Source organism: Homo sapiens, chromosome 1 (genome assembly GCF_000001405.40).
Source record: "Homo sapiens chromosome 1, GRCh38.p14 Primary Assembly".
Taxonomy (NCBI): Eukaryota; Metazoa; Chordata; class Mammalia; order Primates; family Hominidae; genus Homo; species Homo sapiens.
This window is the reverse complement of record NC_000001.11, coordinates 192,853,815-192,877,413: the sequence shown is the minus strand read 5'-3', so window position 1 is coordinate 192,877,413 and position 23,599 is coordinate 192,853,815. Positions and strand designations below refer to the sequence as shown.

Sequence of the window (23,599 nt, the reverse complement as noted above, 5' to 3'; positions counted from 1 at the left end):
AGAGCCGAAATATAGTCACTGAATTTGGTGTATCTTCAAGAACTGCACTGGAAATTTATAGGCTACACTATAAACCCTGCATCTCATTTCTGAAAACCTGTTCCTGGGCTTGAACTACCTCAACAGATTCCTACAACTGTGGATGATTTTGTTGCAGCTAAGAAGCCTGATGTGCTTTATTCTAGGCATACTTTTTTTTTCTCCCCAAAGAGACTCAAAACAACCCTAGTGGTTCAAAGGCATTCATCAAAGGTAATTTTTTAGAAATGGGATTAATATTGTCACACTCTTTCTATTTGCATTATGGAAGGATTAACTTTGAATATTTATATGAAACCAAATTGTGCATATTTCTTCCCTTCAAGTACAAATTTCCTTAGAAAAGAAGACAGGTATATTAATATCCTGCCTGGCAGTGACTGGAAAAGCAGGAATTCATATAAGATAAAACACACTTATGGCCCTTACTTCTACATTAGGTTATTTTATCATGTGACAGATGGTATACAACAGACTTTAAGTCTGGTTTAGTTCCATGAGCTGTTCGGAGACATCACAGCTGGAGAGCAACCAACCTATTTCAAGGGCTGGGAAAATGCCACATGAGTTCTCTGCAACTCATGGTCCACTATGAGTTTTCAGCAGCAAAATTGTCCAGGGCCTGGGAGAGTCTCAGTACCCAGAGTACTTGCCTTCAAGCCCTCTGAACACACTGTGGGAATTCTGCAGCCACTTGACATGGTGTATGGACAACCAACACACTGGTTGGTATTCACCAAGACTCTTGCCAGGGTGCTTTGTTCTTTTCATTGTGACCATTTATCATAAGGAAATCAGGCAGTGTGTCCTGGTTATATCTGCTTGAAGGCACACAATAAGAAAATAAAAACAAAAGAATCAAAGATAAAATTTTTAAAAAATAAAGAAACTGGGCAGTATGTAGCGTGAAGTGACCAATCCTAGTTTCAAAGTAAGATTTAGGTAGAAAAATAGCAACTCACAAATTGACAGTTTCTGGGATTTGAAGAAAATGACAGCATCTCAAGCAGTCTTGTACTGAAATGGATAGCTGTGATTATCTCTTCTTTGTCTCCTGCAACCAGAGGGAAAGTTCTTAAAGAGATTCTAATAGTCAAAGATCCATGGAGCAACGGACACATCTTTCAGTTAGGATTTCTGGTTGGAATCCAGTTGCTTAGTGTTGAAAAGTGAGTTGTTACTGACCCTCCCACTGGCTGTACTTGACAGTGGAATCTACTGAAACACATCCAGGAATAGTTCAATATGCACCATAATAAAGTATTCACAGAGATTATTATTTTTTTCTTCTCATCTACCTCTTTTTTTCCCTAAAGGAGAGCTGATTTTAATTGGAATTCTAATACAATTCCATTACAGTCAAGGTCTGTAAAGGAAATAGAGGACCTTGCATGTGAGGGCGATCTGGCTGCAACAATCTTTCATGCCATTGATTGTCAGGGTTGATTTGGCTGCTCTGGCTACCTAGGTGAGTCTCCCCTTCCTTCCTCGTTGCTCCATGTGCATCCCTTCTGAAGCTGCATGCTTGGTCAAAGGGGAGGACCATTTCCAAGAGAGGACTGGTCTTTGGTCAAGGATATACAAGTAACTGCACTCCCCTGCTAGAACCTCCAAATAACCTCTCAAGGAAATACAGGACCCACAAGATAAGCCTCCTTCCCATTTTTTGTCAATTGACAGCAGCTAATTTTCTAAGCCTTTTCCTTAATCCTTTGTTTAGAAAGCTATTTCCCTGCTGCTGCTTTTCTGTCTTCTTTTTCCCTAAGATTAAGATCAAAGGCACAGTTCAGGTCACTTATCCTCACTCAACCGAGCTACTATTTTGATTAGAGCGTGAATATTCATTAGATTCTACCAATATGCGATGGCTCGTTAATCGTATTACCCTGAGGACTCATGTCACCTTGTGTACTTCACATTAATCCAGACTTTTTAATTTTGTTCAACTCATCTCTTCAGATAGACAATCTTCCAACTATCTCTTCATCTCTGACATAAAGAGCTGCTAACATTCAGCATTAGATTGAAGGAGAAGAGCAGAGAGCCTGTCTCATACATGAAGAAATTCCCTGAAGTGTTTTGCACAATTTGTATGCATTAGATACTCTATGAGTGTTCATTAAAGGAATGAATGAGAGAATGAGGAAAAGTCAGTATCCAGCTTTGCATCTACTCAGCCACTCACTGGCTGTGTGGCTTTGGGTGAGCCATTTGACCTCTCCAACCTCCATTTCCTTACCTGTAAATAAGTGAGGGGGTCAGATGATTCCTCATTCGCTTTCAATACTTAGGTTAGATATTCTTATCCACTTAACTTTTGACCTACACCCAACACAGCAGGGACTTAATATAGGGCTTGCAAATCTTTCCTAAACCAGCAGCAAAATCCCTAAAGGATGCTTAATGTGCATGTTTTTTTCTAACTACTTCATACAATATCTTTAAACTAGGACTAAGAAGAATTAATGAGAAAAAGTCAAAAGACTTTCAAGTTCCAGTAAGAGGGGAACTTGCCTTTTCTGAGAGGTGCTACCAAAGCTTAATATTTTTGAGAGAAACAAAGAACTCTGGAAGACAATTGTATTTTCATTCTCTCCCTGCAAAAAATATCTTTACAAATCATATTGTAATACTTTTCTGTTTCATCCAATATTGATAAACTACTCAAGCGCATTGACCAGGGCATTTTCAATTACTTTTGTATCCCAAGTACCTAGATTAGTGTCTCATGATAGGTGCTCAATAACGTTGAGCTACACTGTTAAAATGGAGGTTCAGAAAGGCTTGAAATAACTTGCCAGGATAACTTGGCTAGTGGTGGTGCAAGATTATGAAACTATTTTCTGATTCCAGACACACAGCTCTTTCTAATATGCTGCCTGATTACAATGAGCCGTTACCAACCTTTAATTTCTGAGCAAAGACTAGTTATCCGATGGTGGCACCAATTATGAGGACCACATACTGAGTCATTTTGATGGATTTGGGATGCACAAGATACAAGCTGCAGCCAGGGTGGCTCTGAGTAGCCAGGAGTGGGTACGGAGATTCCCTGTCTCAAAAATTTTGTTTAAATGAAGCAAGCAAGGAAGAGATGAGTTAAAATCTCCTACGGCTTCTCAAAAATAAGTTTGCTAGAGTGGAGACTGAATGACCCAAAAGACAATTTGAATTTCAACCCTGGGTGGATGCTAGACTAGGTAAACTGATGTGGAGAGATTTTCTGCTACATTTTTCTTATACACCCTTGAAAACAATGATTTTTTTTCAATCAAAAGAAGTGAGGAATGTTACATAAGTCATTTTGGAAATGGTCTGAAGCAATTTCATCTGAAGCAATAATTACTTCCAGTATGTAACTCATCAAGAAAAGTTGAAAACAGGAAAATAGCAAAACTACTGAGTATAAGAGCCAGGAATTGTGTGAAACAGGATCACTTACTTAATTTTATTTTTTGATGTGACTAATAAACCAAATCAAGCATTGCATCTTGAATTCTGAAAAAAAATGAAGCAAAACAAGTATATATATAAATGCAGCGCATTTTTTTTAGCTTTTGACTTGGTTAAAATTTAATGACATAAAAAAAATTTAGTGATAGATTTACACTATGATTTTGGTGAATATTGTTTCAAATTCATATACATCTCTATATATTGACAAAAATTTTTATCTGACTTATTGTATAATTTTAAAAGTAATTTGCTCTATGCTGTTTTCTATTATTTATGTAAAAACTATAGAAAAAGTGTTTAGAAGGCTTTTTTCTTTCTCTTGTCACTTTTCTTTTAATTTGAAGATGTGATGAGTAGACAGAAACCATGAAATTTGTTTTATAAAAATATTTGTTAAAATTCTTCAGAAATAGAAAATATAAATCATTGAAATAATCTTAAAAGTTATTAAAATTGTTTTCTTTTATATAAGGCAACAACTTGCTTTTTGGTTGCTATTTCAATTCAGATGATACAAAATTTTTTCTTCTTTGAAAAAGAAGCAATTTAAAATACAGCCCTATTATAATTCAAGTTGATTTGTCATCTTAACTCTGCTGTTCTCTTCCATTTACTACCTTTCACCCAAATAGAGTCAGGAAGCACGTGAGCCTACAGCTGAACTTCACTGTAGAAAGTTGTAAGGAAAAGGCCAAGAACTGAAGCAGAAGAGCAAGCAAGAAAGAAAATTCTCTGCAGGCTCTGTCTTGCACTGGAGTTGCTACCTTTAGCCCAGTGGATCACTGTGCTTGAAATTCCCACATTATTCATTCTGCAGAGTTAAGACATAAAGTAAGATCCTGACAAAAGAGTCTTTCCTTTGACCAGGTAATTCCAGTTTCTGAAGTTCACATTTTAAAAATAATCTAAGAGAAATAAAAAGCTAGAAGCACAGTGGTGCTCACTGAAATATTATCTCTAATAACAAAGAGAGGAAAATAATAAAAAGTAGCCAATATGAGGAGAATGGTGAAATGAATGATTTATGCTCTTTGTTTGTAATACACTAACAATAATGAACCATCACACCTCCGTCCTTCACACAGGGTGTTCCTCTGGCTTGGCATGTCCTCACTGCTTCATATTTGTCCATCTGTCCCCCTATTTGGGACCTTCTCTGATGGCCTTCAGTTAACCACCATCTTCTGGGTTTTCATCTCTTTCAACCGAACACATCTCTAGCATTGAACTTGGTACACATGTGTATATAGGTCAATCGATTCTTCAAAATTTTCAAATTCCTTTCTATACCCATTCTCAGCACCTGTGCACAGCTCTCAATAAGAGCCTGGGCACTCAATAAGTATCAGAAGAAATGAATACTAAGTAGATCTGTAAAGAATACTGTGTGATCTTCAAAGTGAAAATATAAAAATAGGTGATAGATTATTATGTGACACATAAAATATAAAATAGTATACACATTTTGACTTAAAGTTTGTAAAAAATACATGAGGATGGTTATATGCAAAAAGTTATATAAGGGTAGTCTGAAGGAAGATGATGAATGACTAAAACAAATATCTCTTTCGAACGGTTTTAAAATTGTGCTCACTCTCTGTAGGAAATGCTGCTGCTCATTTTTCATCCTTCACTTCAGGGCACAACGGCCCAACTTGCAACTGTCAGCTCCTGTATTTCTTTGTCTGAGGCATTGTCTGGTCATCTGAGTCAATGTGAAATGTGTGGTAGGCTGAAAGTGTCAGAGAATGAATGTTTCTTCAGGAGCAGCATGTAGGTGGTAGTTGGTGTATAAATAAATACCCCAGCTCCTGCTTTATTTTGAGGTGTGTCATCTACTGGTGCCCATGTTCCTCAGAGGGATTATGCACTATTTACACACAGTGGGGAATTGTCTGATAATTCACACTTTATTTGCTATCACTTCTCTACCCCTCACTCTTCCACTGCTCTACAATTTCTGGTATTACCTCCTGTATTAGCTTGTTCTCCACTGCTATGAAAACATACCTGAGACGGGCTAATTTATAAAGAAAAGCAGTTTAATTGGCTTATGGTTCTGTGGGCTGTATAGGTTTCTGCTTCTGGGGAGACCTCGGGCAACTTATAAGCATGGCAGAAGGTGAAGGAGAAGTAGGCACATCTTCACATGGCTGGCAGGAGACAGAAAGAGAGCAAAGAGGGAGATGCTACACACTTTCAAATAATCAGATCTCATGAGAACTCTGTACTGAGACAGCACTAGAGGGATGGTGCTAAACCACCCCCATGATTCAATCACCTCCCACCAGGCCCCACTTCCAACAATGGGGATTACAATTCAACATGAGATTTGGTGGGGACACAGAGCCAGACCATATCATCTCCAAAATTACTATTTGCACTTTAATCTTGTCTTAGGGTAAGGTTCTAAGATAATACAAATTAAGACACTCTCTCTCTTTTTTTTTTTTTTTTCTTCTGTCTTTTGGGATGAAGTCTCACTCTGTTGCCCAGGCTGGAATGCAGTGGCATAATCAAAGCTCACTTCAGCCTCAAGTTCCCAGACTGAAGCGATCTTCCCACCTTAGCCTTCTGAGTAGCTAGGACTACAGATATGCACCACCACACCTGGCTAGATTTTTTCTTTTTCTTTTTAAATTTCTTGTAGAGATGGGGCCTCACTACATTGCCCAGGCTGGTCTCAAACTGGGCTCAAGCAATCCTCCTGCCTTGGCCTCCCAAAGTGCTGGAATTACAACAGTAAGCCACCACATCTGGCCAACGCATGCTCTAATAACAAAAAAGTTAATAATAATGTAGCAAAGCGAATTAAAATGTAAATATTATTGGGAAGGTGTAACACCTTAGTTTCCAAAAGATGTTATGAAATTAATTACAATTAATGATTAAAGCTGGGCACAGTTTTTACACTTGATCTTAGCTGAAAGGCTGAGAAGTGATGGGCACAGTTTTTGTATGTTTTTCTAGTTTCTAATAGCTACCATCATCTGTATTGTCTTTCATCTCCACTGAGAATGTGAACCACCTAAGCACAGGAATTTTGTCTATCACCTCCCCTCCATCATGCCATATATATCATTGAGAAAGTGCTCAATAACTGCTTGTGGAAAAAAATTACATAATTTAATAAAAGAAAAGAAGACCGATTTTGATCTTCTCAGACTCACTTATTGCAAATCTTAAATTTGTGATTGATATAGTTATTTCAAAGGGTATCATGAATCATTTTAAGCTTAATGTCCTTAAATTAAAAGAAAATTACGCTGTCACAAAGTTTCTACTCAAAGAAGCGTTAGGATACATTATATCAACAAAGATCCCTTCTCTAGATTGTTCCAAGGTAGAATTCTTTGGAAAGAACATCAACATAACCTTTTAGATAATAATTTCCCAATTGTTACAATAACATTTTAGATTATTACAATACAATAATACAATAACCTTTTAGATAATAATTTCCCAATTGTTTAATAATAGTTTTATTCATAAGAGCAAATTTAGGCAAACAACTATTTAATTTTATTATCTGTACAGCTCAGTTCTATAATAGATTGTATACAACAAAAATTTTTCTGGATATATTTTTTGATAGTAAGAGGGCTTAAAAAAACGATTAAGAAAAGTAGGTGGGTGCAGTGGCTCACACCTGTAATCCCAGCACTTTGGGAGGCCAAGGCAGAAGGATCCCTTGAGCCCAGGAGTTTGAGACCAGCCTGGGCAGCAAAACAAGACTGTCACTACAAAGAAAAAATTCAAATAAATAATAAAAGTGGACCTTTTTTGTAGGAATCCACACATTTCAGCCATTTGTGTAATATTAGACATATCTAAATATCTAGAAATGTATGAATACATTTATGTTGTTACATACAGATATTTGGTGGTCTATTGATAGAAACTGGATAAAATACAAACATTTCTTTTATAGCATGCTTATTCATTACGGGAACTGGATTCATCATAATAAAATAATTCAGATGTTTCATTATAATGATCATAACTGGTTGTTATAAGATTATTAGCAACAACACCTCCCAAGGATGAAAAAAAAGTTAAATGCTGATGTATAAAAGCATGGAAATGAGATCTTTTTATTTAGTAGCTGGTATCTTGTTAGCGCTTTTGTTTTTCTGTTTACTGATGACAGTTGTGACTGTACTACAAGTAATAAGTCAAGGTCAGGGCCAACGGCCCAGCATGAGTATTTGAATCAAAGGACAAATGTGAAATTATTTTGATTTGTTTTTGTCAGCTTTGAGTATGCAATTTATTTTTTTAAAAAATTGATAAAAACCAGGATTCTCAGGCTCCATCCTAAGGATTTGGATACAATAGGTCTGGGATAGAGTTTAGGAATCTGCCTTTTTACTGAGTTCCTCAAATAATCTTATGCAAGTGGACCTCAAACCACACATTGAGAAACACTGTTCCAGACTCTAGCTGCCTTTTCAAAAAATAAATATATATGATTTTTTTCGCAAGAGATTCTTAATGAATACAGATATCATATATTATCGGAACAGACTGTAATGTGCTGCAGGCCTGTCATACCAGTGTTAATAAGATTTTATCTGAACCCTTCTCACCTTACCAGAGCAGAGAAGCTGTGGAACTAACAGCTGCTTTTGAGAAGAATGATCAAAATGAAGAAGCTGTAACAAAATCTTTAAAAACAAACAGAATACTTATTTTACAGTTTCCTTTAATTGCCTATCTTTCATAAGAATATGTTAATTCATTGTTTACTGGATACCTGGTTTCTTAAAGGCCTAATGGAAAAATGTGAGGAGTCTTTGCTGTCTTGTCTTAGAAGCCCAATGTTGGACTTTAGCTATGTATCTTGGAGAGGAATGGTGCCATGCTTACTCCACAGAAGTGTTTCATGATATAGCGGGTGGCAAGTCTTAACCAAAAAATGGGAGTGGGCTTAGACAGAGAAAGGGATGATGACAACCTAGAATGTTGCATATTTTTAAAGGCAGAGATAATTCTAGAATGTTGTTTGGTGTGGGAGGGTTCTACAGCCAAGCCCAAGCCCACCTGGCTTAATTGAAAGCCTTTCTTTTGGCCCTGAAAGCAACATTGTTTTCACTCAGTCCCTGCACTCTCTGCCCGCAAAGTATTATGATGATTAATTTTTAGTGCAATCATAAATATTTTACATATGTGTATAGAAATGCCAACATTTGGTGGGGAGCAGTGGCTCACGCCTGTAATCCCAGCACTTTGGGAGGTGAGGCAGGTGGATCACCTGAGGTCAGGAGTTCGAGACCAGCCTGGCCAACATGATGAAAACCCATCTCTATTAAAAATACAAAAATCAGCCAGGTGTCATGGTGGGCGCCTGTAATCCCAGCTACTTGTGAGGCTGAGGCACGAGAATCACTTGAACCCGGGAGGTGGAGGTTGCAGTGATCTGAGATTACACCAGTGCACTCCAGCCTGGGCGACAGACCAAGACTCCTTTCAAAAAAAAAAAAATGAAATGCCAACGTTTAGTTATCTAAAATTTAAACACAAATAGTCACCAGATCTTCTTTGAAGAGTCATAAGAAAAGCTACTTTGCTGGGTTAACTCCAGAATGTCAAAAAACATTATAAGCTTACAGAATTAGTAAAACCATGAAGTTAAATTTGTAAATTATTTTTCTAAATGAACCAATTCTATATTCTTTTCCTTTGGAAAAAAACTAGCATTTTACCACATCCTGAAACAAGTATCTATCCTCACAAAATGGTTATAAATCAGTTTACTTTGGGGATATGTTACAAACAAACAAATCCTGAAACCTTAAAAATTTAAAGCTAAACTAAATTGTAATGATTCCTTAATTCAACCTCTTTAGTTCACTACGGTCTCCTCAGTATACCAAGGCCTAAGTTAATTCACTTGCTCAGGTTCTCAAACCTCCAATTGCTAGTTATTCTTGTATTCTAAAACGTAAAAACAAAATTAAAAGAGAAAAAATATCGTTTTTTCCAAGAAACTATTTACTCTTGTGGCCACTTTAATCACCTCAGCATCGGTAAGTGATCATTGTTATAGCCAATGCTTTTAATTTGATGTCTTAATTTTGGTATTTCTAATTCAAAACATACTTGTATTCTATGTTTCTCTGGTTATATAAGATAGGAATAAAACTATGAAGAACTGGAAGGAACAAAGAACCTCAGATAGGGAGAAAAAGGGAAAACCTAAAATGTTACGTTTTTACATCTGTGTTTTAGTAGCATGCTTCATTTGTTTATTGATTCATTCACTAGTTTATTCCTCAAAAATGGCTAGGAGTACAGAGATGATTATGACAGTCTCTCTATTACAGAACTCACTATTTAGCCAGAGTCGGAAGGCAACAAATACTTGAAAAATGGCAGGTGCCGTGATGAGATGCAATAAAAGGAGCATCTTTAGTGCCAGGTGAGTTGAAGTTCTTCAGATTGAGAAAAGCAGAGGGCTAAATCTATCTGAGGGATGTGGTTTATGTCAAAGCACGTGGGTGTGGATAAACTGGTCAAGTCAGGGAATGGCTGAAGCAGTGTGTAGAGCCAGAGATAGGGTTGGAAACATGCTCTGAGGTCAGGTTACAGCCCAGTGCCAAAGACACTAACTACATATGGCTACTTTAAATTGAGAAGTGCTGTATGTATAAAATACACATTGAATTTTAAAGATTTAGTAGAAAGAAAAGAATGTCGACCATCTCACTAATAATGTTTTATATTGATTATATGTTAAAATGCCCATATTTTAGATATGCTAAAGAAAATACATTATTAAATTAATTTCAGATTTTTTATTTTTTTAAAATGTGGTTGCTAGAACATTTAAATCGCATATATGGCTCACATTATATTTCCATTTTAGTGGCATTGTTTTATGGACGATGATAATGTACTCAAATTGTAGGCTTTTAAAATTTACTTTTTGTTTTTAATTCTGTAGTACTTTAAAGTTGCCAATATCATAATTTTACCTACCATGATTTAGTTTGTATCTCTAAAAAAAACCATTTTTCTATATAAACAAATAACACTATCAAATTGTTAAATATAGACAACTCTTTAACATTGTCTATTGTTCAGTCTATGTTAAAAATATCTCAGCGGTCCCCAAAATGTCTTTATAGTTGCTTTGTCAAAATCAGGATCGAATCCAGGACCACTATTATATTTGTTGTTATGGTCCTTGAACCCGTTTTAACTTAGATTAGCTCCTTCCCTCCCGCTTATTTTTTGGCAGTCACTAACTTTATAAATAGACCAGTGCAGATACCCGTGTTTTACCTTCTGGGTTCTCTGGTTTGTTTGTATTGTTTAGCTTCTTACTTCATTCTTTGTATTTCATATCAAGTGTGAATTAGACCTATAAGCCTGAGTAGATTCTAGTAAAACATTTTTTTCTTTAATATAACACATGCAATATTGGGTACTTCCTGTTTTTCACTTCAAGAGATAAGACATGTAAGATTTCACCATGATTAGTGGTGCCAGGGCTGATCATTGGATTGCAGTGAGAGCAGCCTCATTCCCCCAGTACACAGTTATAATTTTCCCTTGGCAACCAGGAAGCTTTTAATTAAGAGAGTACTGTAGTTAGATCTTCACTGTGGAATAGTGTGGATTGTAGGAGGGACTAAGAGAAGAAAAGAGAAAGCAGTGAGACTATCAAAGTTATTTACTATAGTTGTCTACAAGAGAGAGATGATGATGATCTTACTCTGAGCACCCTGGGTACTATGCTAATTTCTCAGCATGGATTACCTTTTTAAATTCTCATATAGGGCTGGGTGCGGTGGCTCAGGCCTGTAATCCCAGCACTTTGGGAGGCCGAGGTGGGTGGATCACCTGAGGTCAGGAGTTCTAGACCAGCCTGGCCAACATGGTAAAACCCCGTCTCTACTAACAATACAAAAATTAGCTGGGGGTGGTGGCAGGCGCCTATAATCCCAGCTACTCAGGGGCCGAGGCAGGAGAATCACTTGCACCCGGGAGGCAGACGTTGCAGTGAGCTGAGATTGTGCCATCGCACTCCAGTCTGGGGGACAAGAGCGAGACTTCATCTCAAAAAAAAAAAAAAAAAAAAATTCTCAAACAGGGCCGGGTGCAGTGGTTCATGCCTGTAATCTCAGCACTTTGGGAGGCCGAGGCACTTGAGGTCAGGAGTTCGAGACCAGCCTGGCCAACATGGTGAAACTGTCTCCACTAAAAATACAAAAAGTAGCCAGGCATGATGGCGCATGCCTGTAATCCCAGCTAATTGGGAGACTGAAGCTGGAGAATCTCTTGAACTTGGGAAGCAGAGGCTGCAGTGAGCTGAGATTGTGCCACTGCACTCCAGCCTAGGTGACAGAGCGAGACTCCATCTCAAAATAATAATAATAATAATAATAATGATAATAATAAATAAATTCTCACACAGCCCTAAATGATAGTTTTCTTATCCCCATTATCTGTCCAAAACTTAGATTTAGAGAGACTGAATAACGAGTCTACTCTCACACCAGCAGTGGCAAAATGGTGATTAAAGCCCAGCTCTGTCTGACATCAAAATCCATGTGTTGAACCACTTTCCTGTGGTGACTGCATAACAATTTGGTTTGAAGGGCTGTGAAGGTTATGAACATTTTTCTTAATTTGGTGACCAATGGACTACTCAGTGTATGGAAGGAAATAACTCAGAAGGATCTATGTCTGATGATTAGAATATGATTTTGTTGAATTTAGGATGTCAGTTGGATAAGTCAACTGAAAATATAGGTCTGGAGTTAGGCAAGAGAAAACAAAAGTCTGGAGTTCATAAGACAGGTCAAAGAAAAAGTAGACTACAAAGTATAGATTAAAGAGTCATCTGCACAGAGATGTAGCTTAGACCAGGGGAGTGTATAAAGTCACCTGGTAAAATTCTATAGCATAGAGATACCTTCACTTCGTATTTGTAAGCCATTTGAGACTAGCAAACCAACATCAAAAGGAAGACAACTGCGCAAATTAAAAATACCATTTCTGATTTTCATAGTCCTAAAAAAGTTGAAATATCATTAAGAATTATTAGTATAATATTTTGGTATAAGTTCTTTATGCTACTGTACTAGGAGGTTAGAGTATTTCTAAGGGAAGGCATTTTCCATATGGTCAGTGGGTATCATGACATTATATCCAAATCATGGTCTGACAAGCCGAAGTTCACTTATTTATAGAATGGGACAGAAGTGTTTATATTAGGCTGGTCATAGAAAACCTAGGTTATATACTCACCATATGAGAGGCTAACCTATACTCTGAACAATTTTGAATTAAAAGACACCACAGTTGCCTCTGGAACACTCCTTAGTATAGGAGTATAGCATTCTGAAAATTTGTTTTACTCTTTTTGAGGTTATCTGCAATGGTATGTGTTGGTAAAATAATTGTTTGAATGTTTAACAAAAGATAAAAGTTATTTTCCTGCCATCTGAAATTATTCTTCTTCCTCTAGGGCAACATTAAGGATCCACTATTATTCATTTAATGGTCTTTTTTCAATGATCTTTTGTGGAATATGATAATTCATTTCTCTCAATGCTGGTTTAAATGGACATTCATCAAATGAACAGATATATTTGCTCCATATTTATAAAGCTATAGAAAGATGAACTTTTTTCCCCAAGTATTTTTTATTACTTTAAATGGCAATTACAGTAGGAAAAAAGACAATTTCTGGGACATAGGTCAGGTAAAATTAAATAGATTTTAGGAAATCCTTCAAGGGGAAAAAGTAATCAATTAAAAAAATACACATTGAGAACTATGTATGGAAAGTGAAGAGACACAGTACCCCCTCTGTCTTAGAGATGCTCTTCCAGAAGTGGGTGGTCATATTGGCTGATTATTTCCATACAACTGAGATCTCTTCCAGGCATAGGATGATCTTGGCTTGTCTTCGTCTCCTCAGTGTCTGGAAACGAAAGGATGAACTGAACATGAAAATGAAAATCGGCCGGACGCGGTGGCCCACGCCTGTAATCCCAGCACTTTGGGAGGCCGAGGGGGCGGATCACGAGGTCACGAGATCGAGACCATCCTGGCTAACACGGTGAAACCCCGTCTCTACTAAAAATACAAAAAATTAGCAGGGCGTGGTGGCGGGCACCTGTAGTTCCAGCTACTCGGGAGGCTGAGGCAGGAGAATGGCGTGAACCTGGGAGGCAGAGCATGCAGTGAGCCGAGATCGCACCACTGCACTCCCAGCCTGGGCTACAGAGTGAGACTCCGTCTCAAAAACAAACAAACAAACAAACAAACAAAAAACCTATTTATTCTTAAAATTAGAAAATTGCAGTGACAAGGACACTTTGGTTAGCCCAATAAATAGATTTCTTTAATTCTAACCTTCAGAAGGCTCTAAAATGCTTGCTGGTGCAACCCTATGTTTTATTGCAGCTTATTCACAAGAATAGTTTACATATTTTTCTATATAGAACACTACTGTAAACTTTATTAGCTTTAGCTAATATTTATGCATATCAGTGTTTATGGTAGTAAATCATTACTAAAGGAGTGAATACCACCATGGAGTCAACTATTGATTTGCAGATTTGAGAATTTCAACATTCTGCCAATTAAATTCTACATTTAGACCAACTCTTTTATAGATGATAAAACTGGAACACTACAGAGATAAGGAATTTATCCAAAGTCATACACACAATTAGAGCCAGAATTAGCCTGGAATCCAGATTTCCAGATTTCTGGCCTGAAGCTCTTCCTGTTGCCTTCACACTTACATGGGGTCAGTTTTCCCATGGGTTAGTTCTTATCTTTAGCATTTATGAAGTTTCTCTTCTGAGATGTCAAGTTATTTTATATATATATATAATATGTATATTATATATATTTTCTCTCTCTCTCTCTCTCTCTCTCTCTCTCTCTCTCTCTATATATATATATATATATATTTTTTTTTTTTTTTTTTTTTTTTTGAGACAGGGTCTCACTCTATCACCCAGGCTGGAGTGCAATGGCATGATCTTGGCTCACTGCAACCTCTGCCTTCTGGCCTCAAGTGATTCTCCTGCTTCAGCCTCCTAAGCAGCTGGGACTACAGGCACACACCATTACACCTGGCTAATTTTTTGTACTTTTTGTAAAGACAGGGATTTGTCATGTTGCCCAGGCTGGTCTTGAACTCATGAGCTCAGGTGATACACTCGCCTCGGACTCCCAAAGTTCTGGGATTACAGGCGTGAGCCACCATGCCCAGCCTCATTTTATATATTGTTAATAGCAAGATTAGATCAATTCTCTAGAATAATTTGTATTATATCTGTCTGGATGTATTATTTGTAGTCACTTTTGAAAAATGGTGGATTGTTTAGAGGCATTTTATTTTCCTGGAGCATTGGAGATACCTGAAAATAGCCAAATGCAGTAGAAGGAAGCCACACCCAGAAACCTGGATTATAGTTCTGTCTTAATCACTGATCCTGCAGAAGTTGCTTAACGTTATAGCATCTCAGTTTTTCAGCTTGTAGAATAGAGATCATAATATCTACTTAAATCTCTCATATGGTCAGTATGAAGATAAAATAGACTAATGATGATAAAAACATGTTAGACAGGTGTAATATGCTTTATGTCTATAGCAAAGCTAGGGAACTTTTAAAAAGATCATTTAAACTTGTAACATGTTTAGACTGGCCAAATGATAAGCCTATAAAGACATATTTATATTGTTTGCTTTGGGAGTTTCTTAGTTTCTTAGGCTGACTGCTATATCATTGATGACTACAGGTGTGGTGATAAAAATAAACATCCTATTTATTTTGTCATGCAGTTCTGATGAAATACATTGTTGTGAGCTTAAAGAGCAATGACTACTACTAATTAAAATTATGCCAAATTTTATAACATCCTAAGGAAGGTTGGACAGAACTGACTCACTTCCATTGTACACGGTGTTCTCACTTAGCAAACAAGAACACAGTGGACTCCTGAAGCTTGAGACGTGAACGTTTTCTATCAGTTTCAAGGAACTTGTACATTATTTGCACAGCTGTTCTGTCATATCGCTTTTACAGAAGACAGAAATTACTCCAAAGTCTCTCAGTAATAATAATGATAAAAATAATACCTATAATTTCTTGGTCTCCTATTTTATGTCAGTCATTGTGCAAAGGTTTTACATGCATTATTTCTAATTCTCAAAGCAACTCTATAAAAGGTGAGTATTACTATACCTACTTTACTTTATAATATCCCTATCGAAAGAAAGTAAGATACGTTATAATTTGTCAGTTTCCATTTGTATTATGGCAGGTATGCTTGCATTTCTTCTCCTGACTGTTCTCTCAGATAAGCAGATGCAAACATTATTAATTCCAGCTAGCAGATAAACTAAGACAAATGAAGCTAAATAACTTGCTTAAATATCAATAAGACTTCTGACTGGGACTTTAATTTTTTTTTTTTTTTTGAGACGAAGTCTCACTCTTGTTCCCCAGGCTGGAGTGTAATGGCGCCATCTCGGCTCACTGCAACCTCCGCCTCCCGGGTTCAAGAGATTCTCCTGCCTCAGCCTCCTGACTAGCTGAGATTACAGGCGTCTGCCACCATGCCTGGCTAATTTTTGTATTTTTAGTAGAGACGGGTTTTCACCATGTTGGCCAAGCTGGTCTTGGACCCCTGACTTCAGCTGATCCCAGACTCCTGACTTCAGCTGATCCGCCCACCTTGGCCTTCCAAAGTGCTGGGATTACAGGCGTGGGCCACTGCGCCCGGCCGGGACTTTAATTTTTATAGTTTCTCTGTAAGATACTTTTTACTTTTTCATTAGGTCATTGGTTTTCAAATTAATGAATTCAACAGTTATATGCTGGACATGTTTCAGATTGTAGGGAGGAAACAGACATAGCCTCCACCCTAACTGGGTGGAGATGAACTGCAATCAGAGCTCTTTGAGCAGGCCTACCTTTGGGGTTTTGGATGGTGTCATCTTTCACTTTCCTTTCTCCCGCAATGTATTTACACAGATTAACATAGGTTTAAATAGTTAAAATAACTCATCATCACTACCACTTATTGAGCATCTTATTTAAAGTGCTCTGCTTATATTATCTTATTTAATCTCTATGGCACCCTGGTAGAAAGGATGATACTACTTTTTTTTTGCCTGGGAGGAAGAGAAACATGAAGAGGATGAGCTGCAAGATAGCAAGAGGCAGAGGTCAGAGTCAAGCCTAATCTCCATGTTCCAAAGCCAGCCATTCTGTCTCCTACCTCATAGGGCCTCTTAGGTAACAGGCATCAGGTTTTTTTAAAGAGCAACTGGTGAAGCCATCATCTCTCTTACCCTGTAGGCTACAAGGGCAAGGAGAAGTGATGGATGCAGGGAGTTCAGAGAAAGGGGAAAACCTGGGTCCTTTGCCTATTTTAAAAAATATTTATAATAATAAATATTATTTATTACAGGAAAGTTTGTTTTTTGTTTTTGTTTTTGTTTTTCTTTTTTTTAAAGAGTTTAGTAGTAGCAGGCTAGCATTGTGAGCTTTATGAAAGGGGAGATTTGACTTTTGAACCCTCTCCATGAAGCGGCTTAGTTATGGCACTGAGAATTCAAACACCAAACTTGTATTATGTGGCAAACTGGAGACTTGGGAAGACTAAGGGAAATCTTGGGGAAATGATTGGATGAAAAGTTTCAAAGCCCCTAGCTAGGATCATTACTAGTTTTTCAATGTATTTAATACTAAGCTAAGTTCTATATTTGAAAAAGTTTAGCTAGTCTATATGGTGAGATTTCTTTCACATCATTTCTGTTTAATTTCTCATATTTGATCCTAAATGTCCAGCTCTCCTCACAACACCACTCCCTGTAAATGGATCATAGTTCTGCTTGCTGAAGTACAGCTTCTTATCTAGTAGAGCTCCAAATATATGTAATTAATGAGTAAAAGTAAAGATAAGGAATTCCAGTTAGCATGTTGTTGGCATAGTTGTTACTTTTGGCAGGTGTTGATGAATTGTTTTACCTTGTTGATTGTAGACTCACTTTCTAAAGAAGAAAACAGTGCTTAATCAATCATATTCTATTACATGTACAATGCTACTTCTCTGCTTTATATCTTGAAAAACAGATGTCAGTTTCTTATTTCTAGCAGGCAGCCCAACTTCTTGATACACTGATTTAAATTACCTATTAATCAGTTTTTGATTCCTAATTTTTCCACCTCAACAATAACGCAATAGATAGTACTTTGTTTTAAAGTCTGTTAGAATACCAGATGGATGTTTTATTTTTAAGTACCGAAAGAATGTAATAAAATAAAATGTAAATTATATAACCAACAATTGATAAAAATCAGGTAAAGGGATAATCTTACTCTAACTGTATCTTTATTCTATATATTTTAAATAGATAAACTGTATATCATTTTCAGGATTATTTATTTGATATTATACTACCCACTTGGAACTTTTTTTTTTTTTTTTTCGAGATAGGGTCTTACTGTGTTACCTAGGCTGGAGTGCAGTGGCACAATCTTGGCTCACTGCAACTTCCACCTCTCAGGCTCAAGCCATCCTCCCATCTCAGCCTCCCAAGTAACTGAGACCACAGGCACATTCCACCACACCCAGCTGATTTTTTTTCTTTTTTTTTTCTTTTTGTATTTTTGGCAGAGACAGGGTTTTGCCACATTGCCCAGGCTGGTATCAAACTTCTGAGCTCAAGTGATCCGCCTGCTTCAGCATCCCAAAGTGCTGGGATTACAGGCGTGAGCCACTGCACCCGGCCAACTTGGAACATTTTTAATGTACTACTATACTTTTGTCCTAAATTCATTTAAAATTTTGAATTTTAAGAGTATTTGTTATTTTATTTATTCATTTATTAAAAATGTATTAAGTACATACTGCTTGTCAGTCTTGGGTCACATTGCTTAAAGGCTTAAAATACATTTAGTATCAGGCTCTAGGGAATTATGATACGAAATGACATAGTTCAATGTTTACAGATACCTTTGTTATTTTATCACTTAGTATATATACAAGGCAATATTGAACATGTTTGAGTGGCTTATGAATGTTTAAAGATCACTTGGATCATTGATAAATGATTGGATTCTGCCTCACTGTCTTTACTGACAAAATATTCAGAAAAATAATTACCATGTTAGAAAATCATAACTAATGATACATTTTTCTATGCCCTAATATGATAACGGAAAATAGTTCAAGAGAAAAACCACAAGTTAAAACCAGAAAATGCTCAGTGCTTAGACATTTTTCTTTCAGTTCCTTTACTAATCTTGTCCAACAACTTCATTTTATAAATAAACCAAACCTGGTGACCAGTTGTTCAACCTGAAATTTCCTCATATTCTTAATCTTTTAAAAGTAAGAGTTTAAGTGACTTTGACTTTCAAAGAGATTTTTAAAGGCCTGAGGCCCAACCACACCCCAGATTGATTGGATTAGATTCCCCAGAGGTGGAATCTAGGCCATGGAATTTTTTTTTTTTTTTAAGTTCCCAGGTGATTTCTTTTTTTTTTTTTTTTAATTGATCATTCTTGGGTGTTTCTCGCAGAGGGGGATTTGGCAGGGTCACAGGACAATAGTGGAGGGAAGGTCAGCAGATAAACAAGTGAACAAAGGTCTCTGGTTTTCCTAGGCAGAGGACCCTGCGGCCTTCCGCAGTGTTTGTGTCCCTGGGTACTTGAGATTAGGGAGTGGTGATGACTCTTAAGGAGCATGCTGCCTTCAAGCATCTGTTTAACAAAGCACATCTTGCACCGCCCTTAATCCATTCAACCCTGAGTGGATACAGGGCATGTTTCAGATAGCACAGGGTTGGGGGTAAGGTCACAGATCAACAGGATCCCAAGGCAGAAGAATTTTTCTTAGTACAGAACAAAATGAAAAGTCTCCCACGTCTACCTCTCTCTACACAGACACGGCAACCATCCAATCTCTCAATCCTTTCCCCACCTTTCCCCCCTTTCCATTCCACAAAACCGCCATTGTCATCATGGCCCGTTCTCAATGAGCTGTTGGGTACACCTCCCAGACGGGGTGGTGGCCGGGCAGAGGGGCTCCCCACTTCCCAGTAGGGGCGGCCGGGCAGAGGCTCCCCTCACCTCCCGGACCGGGCGGCTGGCCGGACGGGGGGCTGACCCCCCCACCTCCCTCCCGGACGGAGCGGCTGGCCGGGCGGGGGGCTGATCCCCCACCTCCCTCCCGAATGGGGCGGCTGGCCGGGCAGAGGGGCTCCTCACTTCCCAGTAGGGGCGGCCGGGCAGAGGCGCCCCTCACCTCGCGGACGGGGCGGCTGGCCAGGTGGGGGGCTGACCCTCCCACCTCCCTCCCGGACGGGGCGGCTGGCCGGGCGGGGGGCTGACCCCCCCACCTCCCTCCTGGACGGAGCGGCTGGCCGGGCAGAGGGGCTCCTCACTTCCCAGTAGGGGCGGCCGGGCAGAGGCGCCCCTCACCTCCCGGACGGGGCGGCTGGCCGGGCGGGGGGCTGATCCCCCCACCTCCCTCCCGGACTGGGAGGCTGGCCGGGCGGGGGGCTGACCCCCCCACCTCCCTCCCGGACGGGGTGGCTGGCCGGGCGGAGGGCTGACCCCCCCACCTCCCTCCCGGACGGGGTGGCTGGCCGGGCGGGGGGCTGACCCCCCCACCTCCCTCCCGGACGGGGTGGCTGGCCGGGCAGGGGGCTGACCCCCCCACCTCCCTGCCGGACGAGGTGGCTGCTGGGCAGAGACGCTCCTCACTTCCCAGACGGGGTGGCTGCTGGGCGGAGGGGCTCCTCACTTCTCAGACGGGGCGGTTGCCGGGCGGAGGGGCTCCTCACTTCTCAGACGGGGCGGTTGCCAGGCAGAGGGTCTCCTCACTTCTCAGACGGGGTGGCTGGGCAGAGACGCTCCTCACATCCCGGACGGGGCGGCAGGGCAGAGGTGCTCCCCACATCTCAGACGATGGGCGGCCGGGCAGAGACGCTCCTCACTTCCCAGATGGGATGGCGGCTGGGAAGAGGCGCTCCTCACTTCCTAGATGGGATGGCGGCCGGGCAGAGACGCTCCTCACTTTCCAGACTGGGCAGCCAGGCAGAGGGGTTCCTCACATCCCAGATGATGGGCGGCCGGGCAGAGACGCTCCTCACTTCCCAGATGGGGTGGCGGCCGGGCAGAGGCTGCAATCTCGGCACTTTGGGAGGCCAAGGCAGGCTGCTGGGAGGTGAAGGTTGTAGCGAGCCGAGATCACGCCACTGCACTCCAGCCTGGGCACCATTGAGCACGGAGTGAATGAGACTCCGTCTGCAATCCCGGCACCTCAGGATGCCGAGGCTGGCGGATCACTCGCGGTTAGGAGCTGGAGACCAGCCCAGCCAACACAGCGAAACCCCGTCTCCACCAAAAAAATACGAAAACCAGTCAGGCGTGGCGGCGCGCCTGCAATCGCAGGCAGTCGGCAGGCTGAGGCAGGAGAATCAGGCAGCAGTACCGTCCAGCTTCAGCTCGGCATCAGAGGGAGACCGTGGGGAGAGGGAGAGGGAGACCGTGGGGAGAGGGGGAGGGGGAGGGGGAGGGGGAGGGAGAGGGAGAGGGAGAGGGAGAGTTCCCAGGTGATTTCAATGTGTAGAACTGGGGATAGCAACTCTGAGCTCCAAACTCTTATAGCAGTGCCTTTTCACAGTGTTTTTGGGGCTTCTCCTCCACATTTTACTCTTTTTCACAACTGATTCCTTTGAAGAGTAATTATTGTTTCTCTTTAAAGTCAATTTAGTCTATTCACTTTAGGATATTAGTGAAGGTTTAGGTGTGTCATTTCATAATTTTAAAAAATTTTGTTACTCTAATTTGAGTTTTTCTGTTTTCTCTTTTTTGCTATGCTATTCCACCCTATGAATGACAACTTTGACTACTTAGAGCAACCATAACTGTAAAATGTGTATGGAGGAAAGCTATGAGTTAGTAATATTTCATGCAAGCTACAAATTCCACATTAATAATATTATCTTAGGGTCAAGACATATAGAAGTCAATTTTAACATCCTAGTTAATAGCTCCATAGGTTTATAATCTTTCTTATTTCTTTAACAATAAAAGATTATTTAAGTTTAAAGTTTAAAATTATTGGCCAGGAGTGGTGGCTCACGCCTGTAATCCCAGCACTTTGGGAGGCCAAGGCGGGTGGATCACGTGGGGTCAGGAGTTCGAGACCAGCCAGACCAATGTGGTGAAATCCCGTCTCTACTAAAAATACAAAAATTAGCCAGGTGTGGTGGTATGCACCTGTAGTCCTAGCTACTGGAGAGGCTGAGACAGGAGAACTGCTTGAACCTGGGAGGCAGAGGGTGCAGTGAGCCAAGATAGTGCCATAGCACTCCAGCCTGGGCCACAGAGCAACACTCTGTCTCAAAAAAAAAAAAAAAAAAAAAAAAATCTTCAACATTTTCCATGATCTTGAAAAATAGTTTGACATTATGTATGCATTAAATTATAGATTTAGGCTGGTTGCGGTTGCTCATGCCTGTAATCCCAGCACTTTGGGAGGCTGAGGCAGGTGGATCACTTGAGCTTGGGAGTTAGAAACCATCCTGGCCAACATGGTGAAACCCCGTCTCTACTAAAATACAAAAATTAGCCGGGCGTGGTGGCGCACGCCTGTAATCCCAGCTACTGGGGAGGTTGAGGTGGGAGAATCGCTTGAACCCGGGAGGCGGAGGTTGCAGTGAGCCCAGATGGCACCACTGCACTGCAGCCTGGGTGACAGAGTGAGACTCCATCTAAAAAAAAAAAAAAATTATAGATTTAATTGTAATTGTATTCATTTACACTTCCAAAAAGACAATTTGATTCAATAGATTAACTACTAAATCACACCAGAATTATAACAACATGTTATATTATGACACTTTCTACTGGAGATCCCCATTAATCATTAGTTCAGAGCCTCCTTACCCTAAACTGGACTATTAAGAAAAGACAACATTGAACCATAAGCCATTTAGATACAACTTATACCACAATAAGAAACCTAGGTGGTTTGCTTGGGACTTACCTTACCCTCTCCTTAGGTGTTTTTTTTTTTTCCTCTTCCACTTTTTTGATCAGACCTTTCTGATCATTTCACTGTTTCTAGTCAGTCTTCTGTGATTCTCTTCTCTAATGTCCTTGTTTTCTCTTCTCTTTCCTAAGCAAGTTGTTTGCTTAAGGTAACAAGTCACCAGCTTCCATTTGTACCATCTTTTCTATCAATGTTAACCCACCATATAAACATCCTCCCTCCTCAAACAACTACTCTTGCTTTGTAATTTACTCTTCAGTCTCTGTAAACATTTGAGGATAAAAGTGTGCCAGTGGTCTAACAAGATTCTGACTAAAGCAGAGAAGGCCAGGTAGTATCTTGACTAGCTGCTATGGAACTTGGCCTTTCCTTTGAAGGCCCACGACATACTCTAGTTGATGTCCATGTCTAAAAGGGTCTTGAGAGACTAAGTAGCAATAGCTAAAATCCAAACAAAACTTAAGTAGATATCAAAATACCAATTTAATAATTTACTGTAAGAAAACAGCAGGAGAAGGGAGAAGCTAACAACCTTCATAGTCAGCTCATGTTCTTCGTGTAGTTATCTATACAGGAATCATAATTAGAAATTTCCTTTGGTGAGATTAAAGCCAAAATAAAAATAATTTCCATCAATTTATGAAGGGTATCTCTGTCATATAGAATAAGAGGCATCAATCTAGCTTAGGTAATGTAAATGGGTAAATTCAACCCGGAGGGGAATTTGGAAACTGGAGAAGTCAGGCCTCTTTGAGGTTCTCTCAGTCACTCTGATCCAAAGCATTATTGCCCCAGTTTTGCCAGAGCACTGACTTTTCAATAAAAGTCGGAAATCTGAATTTCAAAAAAATCACTGCGTTATGGCTAAATCTGTTTCAAATTTGAGCATTGAAATAAATAATGATAGCAAAATTATAATCCATTGTATTTATATGTATGAATTATGATCAATAGAATGAATTGATACTGATATGTAAGTAAATAAAATCAAAGGAGAGGAGGGAAAGGTTTTCCTTATAGTAGAAAGCTGACAACAAATGACAGTGGAATGGGGGAA

The 23,599-nt window shown here is 39.5% G+C and overlaps 1 long non-coding RNA gene and 1 pseudogene across 1 annotated transcript in view; one reads left to right on the top strand and one right to left on the bottom strand.

Annotated features, from left to right (window-relative positions):
* On the top strand, nt 1,429–1,728 carry RN7SKP126 (RN7SK pseudogene 126; annotated as a pseudogene).
* LOC105371668 (uncharacterized) overlaps nt 13,348–23,599 on the bottom strand; it is a 32,219-nt gene continuing 21,967 nt past the window's right edge. The window contains exon 3 of the long non-coding RNA XR_922387.3: nt 13,348–13,432. This is a non-coding gene — a long non-coding RNA (uncharacterized LOC105371668). The remainder of the gene's footprint in view (nt 13,433–23,599) is intronic.